The sequence below is a fragment of the Homo sapiens genome, chromosome 8 (assembly GCF_000001405.40).
Source record: "Homo sapiens chromosome 8, GRCh38.p14 Primary Assembly".
NCBI classification, from domain to species: domain Eukaryota; kingdom Metazoa; phylum Chordata; class Mammalia; order Primates; family Hominidae; genus Homo; species Homo sapiens.
The window spans coordinates 17,561,466-17,575,681 of record NC_000008.11 but is presented as its reverse complement, the minus strand read 5'-3'; the positions used below and the strand labels follow the sequence as shown (position 1 = coordinate 17,575,681).

The following is a 14,216-nucleotide window of genomic DNA, read 5'->3' as shown; positions in this document are numbered from 1 at the left end:
GCATCTCTTGTTTATTAAGAAAGGGAACTAGGTGATTATTTCAACAGGAGTTTGCTATGTGATTAACATTACGGCTATGAAGGTTGAGACATCATCTCTCATGGCTACTTTTAAGGAGTGAACAAGCATTTAGACCACTGCAATGTGGTGTGTCAGGTTCTGGGGAGAATTCTGAGCAAAGGACTTGGAGCATGCACACAGGAGAGAGTAAATCTGCCTAAATTGCCCCACCGTGAGATTTCTTTTCATTCTGACCCCATGAATTGACTGCTTAACTCTCACTCCATGTTGGAGCCTGGGGTTGGGTCTAGATTCCTCCTCTCGGTCGCAGTATCCCCTCCATGCTGACTATGCATGTGCCAGGTCCACCTCTCTTGTGCCATTATTGTCAAGCTTCACTGCCCTGGCTCAGCTACATTTAGCCGAGAGTCGTCCCTCTTTCTCTTGCCGCTTAGAGGCTCTTCTTGGGGGGCTGAGGCGAGAGAGTCATTTGAGCCTGGGAAGCGAGGTTGCAGTGAGCTGAGATGGCACCACTGCACTCCAGCCTGGGCGACAGAGAGAGACTGTCTCAAAATAAATAAATAATAAATAAATAAATAAAAGCAAAGAAGAGAGGCCTCAGAGAATACCCATTCTTCTGCCACCTTGCTCTCAGATTTCTGCCATTCAGAACTATAAGAGAATACATTTCTGTTCTTTAAACCACGCACTCTGTGGTTCTTTGCTATGGTAGCCCCAGCAAATTAATACAGGGGTCTGTATTAAGATGGGAACAGAATTCATAAGAAGTATAAGGGCTTCCCAAGACACGTAGCTATTTCATCACAAGGCTTATTATCCTTGAATGAGACAATCTCAAGATGATTTTAAATTTGAAAACAAAAACTGCCAAAGCTGTATTTTTCACAGGTCTTATTTCACTATAAAAATCCACGTGCTTTGTCTCTAGGGTGAGAAAGAATTTTATTATTAGAATGTCGTGTTGATCTTTTCCATTCCTTCTCCAACAATTACTATAATGTTAGCCAATTAAAATAAACATTATCTTGCAGCTCTAAATCAAATACAACTTGAAGCCTGCTTTCCCAAGGCCTGATTTTTTTTTTTTGTATGTTTAGCTTGTATCTGGTCACCTTAATGGACCTTCTTAGTAGCTTAAATAGTTTTCAGTTGATCTCTTGGGTTTTTAGATAAACGATCACATTACCTGTAACACCCACTTTTCTTTCTTCTCTTTTCTTTGAGATAAGTCTCACTCTGTTGCTTAGGCTGGAGTACACTGGCATGATCACAGCTCACTGCAACCTCCACCTCTCCGGCTCAAGCAATTCTCCTGCCTCAGCCTCCTGAGTAGCTGGGACTACAGGTGTGCGCCACCATGTCTGACTAATTTTTGTATTTTTAGTAGAGATGGGTTTTCGCTGTGTTGGCCAGGCTGGTCTCAAACTCCTGACCTCAAGTGATCCTCCTGCCTCAGCCTCCCCAAGTGCTGGGATTACAGGTGTCAGCCACCGTGCCTGGCCATTTTCATTATCTATTTTAATTAACGGTAGCTTTCTATGCTTACCCATGAAATCTCCCTACTCCATTGCCTTCCGTGCTTTTTATTTGCCCCTTTGAAGTGGTGAATACCATTAGGAATTTGTTAGGTAAGAAAAAATCAGCCAATATTTTGGGCATCCCTTCTCCATCCCCAAGATAAGGACACGTAACTTCTCTAACTAGTCTTCGTTAACTACAGACATACAACCAAGATGATTTTTTCACAAAAATCTATCAGGGGAATCCGCCCCCAATATTTCAACGTAGGTTCTTTTTATTTTCCTTAAGTGTCGGCCGGCTGAGAAATAAAGAGAAAGAGTACAAAGAGAGGAATTTTACAGCTGGGCCGCCAGGAGTGACATCATACATTGGTAGGACCGTGATGCCCACCTGAGCCTCAAACCAGCAAGTTTTTTATTAAGGGTTTCAAAAGGGGAGGGGGTGTAAAAACAGAGAGTAGGTACAAAGATGACACGCTTCAAAGGGCAAAAAGCAGAACAAAGATCACGTGCTTCTGAGGGAACAGGACAAAGGTCAAAAGCAGAACTACTGATAAGGGTCCAACAAAGATCACAAGGCAAAGGGCAAAAGCAGAACCACTGAAAAGGGTCTATGTTCAGCGGTGCATGTATTGTCTTGATAAACATCTTAAACAACAGAAAACGGTTCGAGAGCAGAGAACTGGTCTGACCGCAAATGTACCAGGGCGGACTTTTTTCCCCACCCTAGTAAGCCTGAGGGTACTGCAGGAGACCAGGGTGTATCTCAGTGCTTATCTCAACTGCACAAGACAGACATTCCCAGAGCGACCATTTATAGACCTCCCCCCAGGAACGCATTCCTTTCCCAGGGCATTAATATTAATATTTCTTGCTAGGAAAAGATTTTAGTGATATCTCTCCTACTTGCGTGTCCGTTTATAGGCTCTCTGCAAGATGAAAAGTATGGCTCTTTTTGCCCGACCCCACAGGCAGTCAGACCTTATGATTGTAACTTCCCTTGTTCCCTAAAAATCACTGTTATTCTGTTCTTTTTCAAGGTGCACTGATTTCATATTGTTCAAACGCACATTGTACAATCAATTTGTGCGGTTAACACAATTATCACAGTGGTCCTGAGGTGATGTACATCCTCAGCTTACGAAGATAACAGGATTAAGAGATTAAAGTAAAGACAGGCATAAGAAATTATAAAAGTATTATTTGGGAACTGATAAATGTCCATGAAATCTTCACAATGTATGTTTCTCTGCCATGGCTCCAGCTAGTCCCTCTGTTCGGGGTCCCTGACTTCCTGCAACAAAAATCAATGCTTCGAGGTTTTAGCAGGAATAAAATTTAGTGGTTTTAAATATGGGACTCCCTGAAGACTTCATTCTGATAGAAATGCCAGACATTTTTGACACTCCCAGAGCCACTCGTCAAGGGACATCTTAGGGTAAGGTAGGGATCCCAGAAACTTAGTCTACTTAAAACCAATGAAGCACAAGACCTTCCTAGCTCCAGGATGTAGCATGTTGTAAAGATGCATCACCTATTCATTAGTTGCAAGAGCCTCTAAGTGGCAAGGGAAAGAGGGACTACTCTAAGCCAAAATGTAGAATAGGAAAATTGTGACTTGAGAGCTTTGGCCTCTTTTTTCTTTGCTCTTTCTCTTTCTAGTCTCCTCCCTCCTCTTTCAACTGTCTCTGCCTATTTGCCTTCTCTTGCTTATTTGCTCTAAATGCTGTTTTTGAAAAGCATCTATTATCAGTCATTTACACTTGTGCACCAATTAAAGTCAATGGTTCTGTTTTAAGAACAATGGCGTGACAACCTGATTTCTACCAGAGCAGTGAAATTGTTGGTCCTTCCATGACATCAGTGAGCAGGTAGGGAAAGATTCCGGTGACTTGGAGACTCAGCCACTGGGGATGCCCAGAATCTTGAACTTTGACAATGTTGTAGTATTTGTGGGCTAAGGGACTCAGAGCTCAGAAACTGGCTTGGAGATTGGGGCCCACCCTGGGCTATATAGTACTCCTGGGTAGTGCAGTCTCTATCCTGTGGGTTTCTCTTCCTCTTGACTGCTGCAGTCTTAATAGAGTAATAAGAACTCTTTACCCAGAGTTTATGACATCTGAAACTCTGATATCTACAACTATTTAAGAGGTGGCTATCAATCTGTTACTAGGAAGGTTTATATAAGTAAGTGAGTATTGAGCTGAGTCTCTTTCTAGTTTAACTCATACTTTGATCTGTGTTCATTCATTCATTTACTTTTAGAGACAGAGTCTCGTTCTGTCACCCAGACTACAGTGCAGTGGTACCATCATGGATCACTGAAGCCTCAACCTCCTGGACTCAAGTGATCCTCCCACCTTAGCCCCGAGTAGCTGGGAATACAGGCACTCAGCTAATTAAAAAAAAAAAAATTGTAGAGACTGGAGTCTGTGCTATGTTGACCAGGCTGGTCTTGAACTTCTGGCCTCAAGCAATCCTCCCACCTTGGCTTCCCAAAGTGCTGGGGTTACAGGCATGAACCACCAGGCCCAGCCGCTTTGACATACTTTAAAAGACAAACTGAGATAATGTCATAGTGAGAGTTATTTTTGTATGTCTTTGAGAATTTTTTGAGATAGTTTACGGGATGAAATAATTTACTCTTTCCACACAGATGAGGACTTCTCAGCACAATCTCTTAGCAATCCATGGGCTTTGAGCCCTTAGCCCCAAAAGGAAGCCTATCTGAGTCCTTCTTTAAACACTAAGAAGATCATATTCCTCTCTCCGGGAGCTTCTGGCTGGACCTACAGCCCAGAGACAACTACTGGGGGATTATTTCATGTGATCCCATGGTGACAAAACAGAGAGGTAGGGCACCACTACCTCACAGCAACCCTAATCACACAAAAACTAAATTGTTTGAGGCTTCTACTTGGCAAGTAGTTTGCTTTTTTAGCTTGGTTTTTAATGCTTTCTAAATTGATAGTAAAGTTTTTAAAATTCAACATGTTCCCTCCAATTTACTAGAAACAATAGGAACTGCATACACAAATATGTTTCAAAATTAAACAAGCTAACTCAAGAGATGTGTAATTTTAAGCAATTTAGAAACATTTTAAAAATCCGCATTGAATTCTCCCTCCCTATCAAAGAGTAAAAAGTTGATAATCATTCACCATACTTAAAAGTATCCTAGTGGACATACAACTGATCACCAATGATTAAAGGCTATGATTGGTGGAAAGAACATTGATGAACTTCTTACAGATCAAAGCAATGTCAAAGTGAATGGCAGTCGTAGTGATAGGATCCCAGATGTGTGACTCTGGGGTAGCATGCTTCAAGAGCAACTGGTATTTTTTGGAATGTGCCATGAGTATTGAGGATATGTGAAGACATCTCTTTCATCTCACAGGACTTGGTAGTCAGTCATACAGCAGGCCTTAGGCTGCCAGCTTAGTATTCTTCAATTGTTTCAATGTAGATTGCTTATATTTCTGAGCTTTAAAGATTTCCAAATAAATAAGGAGTTTAATTTAGGTAAGTATGAAATGTGTGCTTTTGGTATGGGTAACATCTGCATTCTATATTATTACATATTAAAATTTATTTTAAAAATACACCACATCAGAAAGCATATTTTACAGTGGTAAAGCAGCAGTTTTTATTTATTACAAATTCTAAAAAAGAATCCAACTTTATAAGTAAAAAGGAACACTGATGATCACTTAAAACATTTAAATTTAAAATTACTACTAAAAAAACCCTGTACATTCACACAAGTCCAATGCCTTTGTTGGTTTTTACAGACATAGAATTTCTGTAGGGTTTTGGGCCCTATCAACAATTTTTATTAAGTACTGCAATAACAAAATACAGCAATAAAACAACTGGACACTCCTAGGGGACACCAAAGATAAAGGGCCCATTAATCAGGTGTAGGCCAGAGAAACCCAACCTGTTGGCAATATGACGCTCTTTCCCAACTGGGTCTTGGTGAGACACGTGGCACAGCAAGGCTGTCAGTGCATGTGCATAAATTGTAGACCAGGTCCCACTATGCTACTTCAGGATTCAGCCAGCCCTTCTATGAGTCACAGAGGTCCCTTGGTCCTTATTCATCTTGATATACTCATGGGATGTTTGGAATTAAGGAGCCCAAACTACCTTACTTGCATTTGAAGTCTTTCACTTCATATCCTACCCCATCAGTCTAAGAGCCCACCCAACAAGGGTAGCTACACATAGATGCTCACACTCTATAGGCTGCCTGATCCTGGAACCAGCCTGGGGCCCTGATTATGATCTCCACGGGGCTGTCAGTGGCTAGGGAAAGCTCTTTAAGACCCAGCGATCATGGCAGTGGCATCAACCATGGTGAATCAAAGTTAAGTATAATGCTCCCAGCAAACAGTGTTACCAGTTGGGTTGAGCAATAACAAAATGCATTTGAAATCAGTAAGACTAAACCGTGTATATACAAACAATAATGAATATTACAAACACCAACAACCACAACAATAACAGATCAGGCTTCTCAAAATCCAGAAACCGGAAGGCTATTTTAAAGTGTTTAATATAATCATGTAAGGAAAAAAAATCTCCCCAAAACAATAAAGTCAAGCAATTTCATATCTATATGAACTTATTTTCATATCTATATGACTAAAAAATGAAAATGACCTTTGCTGGCATTATTGCTACGCGAATATCCATACTTTCCCCCTTGATATTTAAGGACATGTGGGAGAACTTTATAAACAAGTAAAGTGTGCAGAGAAGGCACTGTTTTGGCACTAGCAAAAAGGACAGTTAATTTCACATGAATCACGTGAACTTTAATAACGCATGATATACATGCTAAACTCAATCCTTTAAAGCCCTGCGGAAACTGTATTTTTTGTGGTAACAGTTGCTTGAAGCGTATTAGGAGAAATCATGAGCAGTATCACCGGAAAGGGAGAGTCAGAATCTTGGCATGATTTCATCACGCCAAGGTGTGATGTTCTGTAATCTCGGAACACACCCTGATTTAAGAGGAGGGAAGGCAAGGCTCAAGTGCTCCCTCTGTCATCATGGGTATTGGAGGCCGATGGCTTTTCCTTATGCTTCCTGCTAAGCATTTAAATAAATTTAGAAAATAGGTAAAAATAGATTCTAATTAAAGTGTTTTATTTTTATTTTTATTTTTTTTGAGGCAGGGTCTCACCGTTGCCCAGGCTAGAGTGCAGTGGCGTAATCTCAGCTCACTGCAGCCTCACTCTCCTGGGCTCAAGCGATCCTCCCACCTCAGCACCCCCAGTAGCTCTGACTACATGTGCATGCCACCATGCCCAGCTAATTTTTGTTTTTTTTGTAGAGACAGGGTCTTGCTATGCTACTCAGGCCGGTCTTAAACTCCTGGGCTCAAGCGATCAGCTTGCCTCGACCTCCCAAGATCCTAGGATTATAGGTGTGAGCGAGCCACCATGCCTGGCCTTAAAATTTTTTTAACAACTACCTGTAAGCACTCAGGACTTAAAAAGTATTTTGACTAATATTTAAAATTTTAAAGTTTTTAAAAATTTCTTTTATTCATAGAAATTAAAAGAAAACAAATAGTCTCTTATTTTTTAAAGGAGGGTAATTCTGAAACTAATATTTTCTATCAACTACGGCTGGTGATGGTAAAGTTCTATATATTAATGTTACTTTTTCATATATATCTCTCTTAAATGACACTTTGGCTTTCGTTCTCTCAATGTTTATCTCTGGGGAAAATGTGATTAAGATAATCAGTATTTTAGTATATATCAAAAGTTCTAATATAAGTTTTCCTCATAGTTTTTAACAGAGTTTGCATAGCTCTATTCTTAAATGTAGGACTGCCATTGCCTTTTGGTGGTAATTCACAAATTATTGTTTTTTTTTAAGAGTATAAAATTTGAGGTGCCATTACAAGAAATTCTCACTGAAAATGTTGAGAATATATTTCTTAATGTAGAAAAGAAAAGTAATTTAAGCTGCTTTTACTCAATCACAAAAGAATTTGCATATGTATTTCTTAATTACTGGAGAAGACTTTATATAATTTTGATTGATTACTAGTCAAAACTCTACAAAACATTTAGGTAATTCTGAGAAAGAAAAAAAAAATTTAGTTGAAAACATTATGAATTCACAAGCAGAAACAGAAAGGTGCCAAAGAGCTGGTGATACTGACTTTTGCTAATAAACACCTACCAGGACAGATCAGTCGGAAAAGGTGTGGCAGCAGCAAGTAAACAGGAATCCCCAAATGCCCCTACCTCTTCTCCATTCCAGATTACAAAGCACCTGCTATAATGTACTAGAGTTTAGTGATTTCATATTAGAAACATTATAAATACGTCTTAAAGAGTCTATAGGAAATATACATATAAAATCATAGTATATTTTAAAATAGTTTAAAAACTAAAAATTAGGTATAAGCATATCTATCAACATCAAACATCAATTTTTCTCCACATCAGTTGGGTTTTGTACCCACCTAATGACATAGTCAAAGCCCACCATAAACCCAACTTACTTATACACTGACGTTAGAGATACACACACACAGATATATATATACACTCATACAAACATATGTAACTGTTAACAAACATACAAACACACACATCCGTTGAGTCTTCACAGAAAAAAAGGCACAGTGGCTGACAAAGCATCTTTTCATAGATATTTGTGTCTGCAAAGTGTTTCAATGTGGAAAAATAATTTTTCACTAAATTCTGCTTCAAATTGAGCACAGTGGGCATAACAGTTTTAGCTGCCTATCACATTCTAAACAAGTTTCTTGGTTTCGTTACAGTAAAAGATTTGAGTGTTCATATATAACAATTGTTCACATTTCCTGTGTGAAGGGTCTATTCTTGATTGGGTATAGAATCAAACGGGTTTTCAGCGTACTGTGACAACAGCAAGGATTTATGAGCATGCCTACAGTCCCTACCAAAATACCCGAGCCTGTGCTTATCCAACTCCTTCTCTCCAGTAAACCACGCAGCTTGAGAGAAAATTCTGGGCTTCAGATTTTACCATGTGCACCCTGGAAGTTGTGGAATGTCCGTAATGAGTTCTGTGTCATGGATGCTATAACGCTAGCAGCCAGAAACCCAGGCTTTCTACCTGTTTCTTTGATGTTTAATCACAATAAACTCCTGGCTATACAAAACCATCGCAACTTGCTTTTTAATGGCATCAATAAAATAGCTCATTTCTTGGAAGACCCATGAGGAAAACGAATGTTTTCCTTGTCTTGGGATTACACGGGCCAGCTAGCATGCCTGGTAATGTTCACCATGCTGTCCTGGGAAATGTCACCCAGCCTCATCCAATGAACTATTTAATGATTTGTACGAGAAATAGTTCATGAGAAGCAAATACACTGCAAATAAACAGTCCACTATTAGGGAATCCTAAAAAGTAAAATATGACAATTAGAGAATCTTACATGTAAAAATTTGTTTACTCATTTACAAGGGTTAACTGTGTTTATATAGCTTTAATTCAATTTGATTCTTTTTAGTTTCCAGTTTTAAATAATCATGTTTTTTAAACCAAAATGTTTGATTCCCCAATCACTGATGGGTTATTGTATAACACTGGAGCTTGTATTATTAGGCTTAGTGTAGTCATTTGAAAGCAAATGGAATAAAAAGTGCTACACAATTTATGGGGTAGGGGGAGAAAAATATTCCTAAATGTTTCCAAAGGAAACATCAGAGGCAAATTAGATCCAAAGCCCTTAAATTGGGCCATTTGCCATTTAACAATGGAACAGGCCGTTCCTATCAGAACAGGGGGATTTTCTCTTCTTCTATCCCTTCATCTTTCCCTCTTTGCATGATGCTGCTGTAGCCCCCTCATCTCTAAGACAAGACAAAAGAAACAGAGAAACAAAGAAGTGAACTCTGGGCCTGACGAGGTTAAGAAAAAAACTAAACTGTGATTAAGTAAGTAATGGAAAAAGGAGGAATCATTCCACTAGTTGTGTGGTCTGGGAGAGTCTGTTGGCTTATTTTAAGTCACTTTTTAGAAAAGGATGCTTGGGGTCTACTTATTCAAGCATTGGTCTAACTCTTTGATCTTCAAACATATTCTCATTACGGCCACTCCATGAGCTTTCTGGCCCTGGTGACTATCTTCACTTTTTAATTTAAAGGGTCCCAAGTATATCACAGTGCCTCTCTTAAGTCCCTGACTGGGGATACGTCATTCACAGCAAGTGAAGACCTCGTATTTTAGGACCACTGTTTGCAAAGGAGACAAAAGTTCAAAAGGATGCCAACTAGTGGCATGGAATGCCACTCCTGGCCTGTGTAGTGCAGCAGAAGCAGACACCCCTGTTGGCTGAAGTTTGAGCAAACTGTCATACCTCACAGGAAAAAAAATTTGCATTAAACCCACTGTTGGCATTCACAACTTATTGAAAAGTCTCTTTCCTTATCCCCTCATCTTACCCCTAACCAGTGACAGACACCATGATGAGTAACTGCATTTTTGGCATCCCCTAAACTGACATTAATGAAGTCAAACAAGGTAAAGCTACTAGTATTTCCCCAACTGCAGGGGGCATAGATGAAACCTCTTTACATTCAGTGATTTCCCTCTATTTCAGTATGTGCAGTATATGCCACCGATTAATGACGACACTGGAAAAATGTAACACAATAATAGTAAAACACCAGCTAACTTGTAACACTCATGTTCCCAAGCATATACATAGATACATACATACACACATACATACACACTCCCACTGTTTGGGGGCTATTCATCACTGATGAATGAAACTTCCACTCAGGAGGTTTCCCCGTGCACATAATTCACCATCTGAGGAGATGCTGTCCAGATGAGTAAGTATAAATTAGGGTGAACTATGTATGCAGCAAACCCATGACAACCCAGCATGCTGATGACATCCCGTTACGGTTTACTCAGTGTAGGATATGTATGCTAAGACGATGACCAGCTCTGCTCCTGCAAGTGTTAGAATTCACTTGTCTTTTCATGGAATATGAAAGGTGAACTGAGATTTCTTGGGTGATGGTCATTTGCTTGAATGGCAGATTTTTCTTCTGCTGCTGCATGAACGTTGTCTGGATAAGCATCTTCTTCATTGTTTTCATCTCTCAGATGACCCTCCAGGCTGTGTCTAATGCCATAAGAAAAGTAAATCAGGAAGCCTGTTGGGGCAGGAAAAAAAAAAATCAATGTTTCAGGTATGTCAGAAAATGACTTTTAAGTTATTGAGGTGGAAAATGTAGAACTTAATAGAGTTTGTCTCTTTCCTTTCTGTAGTACTTTAGAACGGGGGTCACCAACCCCTGGGCCACAGACCACTATTGTTAGGAACCAGGCCACACAACAGGAAGTGAGCAAGCAGTCTCTAGTATTTACAGTGTATTTACAGCCACTCCCCATTGTGAACATTACCACCTGAGCTCTGCCTCCTGTCAGAGCAGGGCAGCATTAGATTCTCACAGAAGGGACTGCACACGTGAGGGATCTAGGTTCCATGCTCCTTATGAGAATCTAACTAATGCCTGATGATCTGAGGTGGAATAGTTTCATCCCCAAACCATCCCCCACCCTGTCCATGGAAAAACTGTCTTCCACAAAACCCGTCCCTGGTGCCAAAAAGGTTGGGGACCGCTGCTTTAGAAGAATGAAATGCAAATGTAAGATACCCCACAGAAGGTGTCCTTGATCAATATTTTCCTGGTAGAATGTGCCTCTCTATTGTGAAGACCCAAACTTTATAGACTGTATTTTGCTCTCAACAAGTTTTTCAATGTTTATATGGAAAAATTTTAATTGATGTTCTTAGAAGTCAATACTGTACTTTAAACAAAATGATATGTGGAATAAAGTCTCAAATTATACCCTAAATACAAGTGGTGAGTTATCAGAGTCAAGATCAGATATTTTGCAAAGTACACTCTGTATTAACAAAGAGGACACGGACATGCTTTACACGTGTCACTGTCACCAGGAGAGTCCGAAGAACTGTATGCAAAGCAACTGTTTATTAACAGCCACACTGACTGTGTGGGGATCAGGAGGCAACGTTTTAAGTACCCTCCTAAGATCACTGCAGACATGTAGGCATTTTGCTGTTTTAGTTCTATTTTAGAAAATTGGTTGTGAGTTTTGGGTTGATATAAAATGACTTTTTCTGGGTTTCATTTTTTTCACCCATAAGTAGAAGGAAATAGAGCCTACATGGTTCTACAGGGTTAGTGGGAGATACTGACTTAAAAAGGCATCTGAAAACATCTGGAAAAGCACTCGGACATCCCTAAGAATTAGGAAAGAAAGAAGCGGGAAAAAAAAGCCTTTATTCCCAGGATGGGGGAGAGGGCATGTTTCTCTCATCACAGCACATGAAATAGGAAAGAGAACCCGACATTAAAAGACCTACCAATTGCCATCCAAATGCTGAATCTGACCCAAGTGTCTGCACTTAACTGGACCATCAAGTAAATGTTCACCAAGATGCTGAACGCTGGCAAAAATGGTAAGAATGGAACCTGAGGGGGAAAACAATCCTTTTGAACATACTCATATTTTGAAGCATATTCCCCAAGTTATTTCAACAGGGTGGCAATTAATTTGGCATATATACTTTCACACCACGTCAATCACAGTTAAAACCACGCTTCTAGAGACCATAAAAGGAGAATCACATCTTAGAGTATTTACTAAAGCTCAAGGCACCAGGGGATTTATCAGATTCAGTAACACCTGCACAATCAAAATAATATTGGTTTTAGGATTTAGCTTTCTTTGGGGTTTACTGATTTCATTTAGACACACAAAGGGGAGACCTCTGAAATGTGGGATACATATGGTTATCCCAGGTACATCCTCCCAGGAAGCCCTCTTCAAACCCAAGCCAGTATACGGTTAGCTCAAATGGGACAGGATAGTTTAACTTGCAGTGGAGGAGCTTATCTTTTTAATGTTCAATTTAGTTTTATTTTATTTTTAGAGACAGTGTCTCACTCTGTCACCCAAGCTAGAGTGCAGTGATACTATGATAGCTCACTGCAGCCTTGAACTCCTGGGTTCCAGTGATCCTCCCACTTCAGCCTCCTGACTAGCTAGGACTACAGGAATGAGCCACTACACGCAGCTAATTTGTTTGTTTGTTTTGTAGAGATGGGGTCTCGCTATGTTGCCCAGGCTACACTTGAACTCCTGGCCTCAAGCAATCCTCCTGCCTTGGCCTTTCAAAGTGCTGGGATTACAGGTGTGAGGCACCACACCCAGCCCAAGAGGAAAGGCTTTTGGTAGGAACAAAGTTCTCATGAGAAGGCAGTGAATTTCTAAAAACAAAATACTCACCCTACTTTTTTGATATTATAGCTTCTTTAACATGAAATTTGTTTACTATCATATATAATAATATTGTGATAGGAACATACCCAAGTGTTTGAAAAGGCAGTAAGAGGACCAATGTAGAAGGAATTCTGTACAAAAAGGAACATATCGAAGGATTCTGACACTCTCATTCACTGGCTAACCACATTAGAAGTTGTTGAGGCAGGTGGATCACCTGAGGTCAGGAGTTTGAGACTGGCCTGGCCAATGTAGCAAAACCCTATCACCAGAAAAATACAAAAATAAGCAGGGCACGGTGGCTCACACATATAATCCCAGCACTTTTGGAGGCAGAGGTGGGTGGATTATTTGAGGTCAGGAGTTCGAGACCATCCTGGCTAACATGGTGAAATCCCATGTCTTCTAAAAATACAAACATTAGCTGAGTGTGGTGGCGTGCACCTGTGATCCAGCTACTGGGGAGTCCGAGGCAGGAGAAGTGCTTGAACCCGGGAGGCAAAAGTTGCAGTGAGCCAAGATCACTTCGCTCCATTGCACTCCAGCCTGAGTGACAAAGAGAGAGATTCCATCTCCAAAAAAAAAAAAAAAAAAAAAAAAAAAAAAAAAAATACTTACCAAACTAATTATACAGAGAAAATGAATACAGTATTTTGGGTCTCTAATCCTCATTACACATACCATGAAGGCTACTTTTTGCTGATTCTGGGGCTGCCTCCAGATGGTGAGAACGATGGCAACGAAGAGAACAAGAAACAGCGCGAGGAGAGCGAGGCTCCAGGCCTCCAGCCTGGTGATGGCATGAACTCCGTAAGTGGTCAAGACACTCAGGCCCAACACGAGGAAAGCTGCAGGGGGATGTGTAGATAACAGAGTCAGCACACTGTGCTCCACCCAGATTGCTTGGTGCAAAACAGCATATTCTGATAAAACACTGACTTCTGTACACATCTACTTGGCTAAATACAAAGAGTCTTCGCCTTGCCCTTTCTTCTTTTTCATTGAGGAGAGAGATGTCCAGTTGCAGGGATTTAAGAACCATTGCTTATTTACTCATTACTCTCCCCTCCTTAGAACCAACCGCCCCTCCTAGTGTTACTCACTGGCATTATCTGCCCACGTGCCATCTGTGTCCTCACTGGTTACTTTCAGACTAGAATGCTGTCGGGGTTGGATACTTCCCTTTTTTCAAATGGGAAATGGCACATCTGGTTATTTTAAGCTGTCGTAAACATGGACTGTGATATGAGTTGGCTGTGTCCCCACCCAAATCTCATTTTGAATTGTGGCTCCCATAATTTCCATGTGTTATGGGAGGAACCCAGT

At 40.3% G+C, this 14,216-nt stretch overlaps 1 protein-coding gene across 12 annotated transcripts in view; it reads right to left on the bottom strand.

Annotated features, from left to right (window-relative positions):
• SLC7A2 (solute carrier family 7 member 2) overlaps positions 5,116-14,216 on the bottom strand; it is a 76,498-nt gene continuing 67,397 nt past the window's right edge. For all 12 annotated transcript variants that reach the window (XM_047422113.1, XM_047422114.1, XM_017013746.2 and 9 more), the window contains 3 exons: positions 13,572-13,738; positions 11,971-12,079; positions 5,116-10,732 (listed from right to left, as the gene is read on the bottom strand). In XM_047422113.1, coding sequence (XP_047278069.1) covers positions 10,536-10,732; positions 11,971-12,079; positions 13,572-13,738 — 473 coding nt within the window. In that variant the 3' untranslated portion in view covers positions 5,116-10,535. The remainder of the gene's footprint in view (positions 10,733-11,970; positions 12,080-13,571; positions 13,739-14,216) is intronic.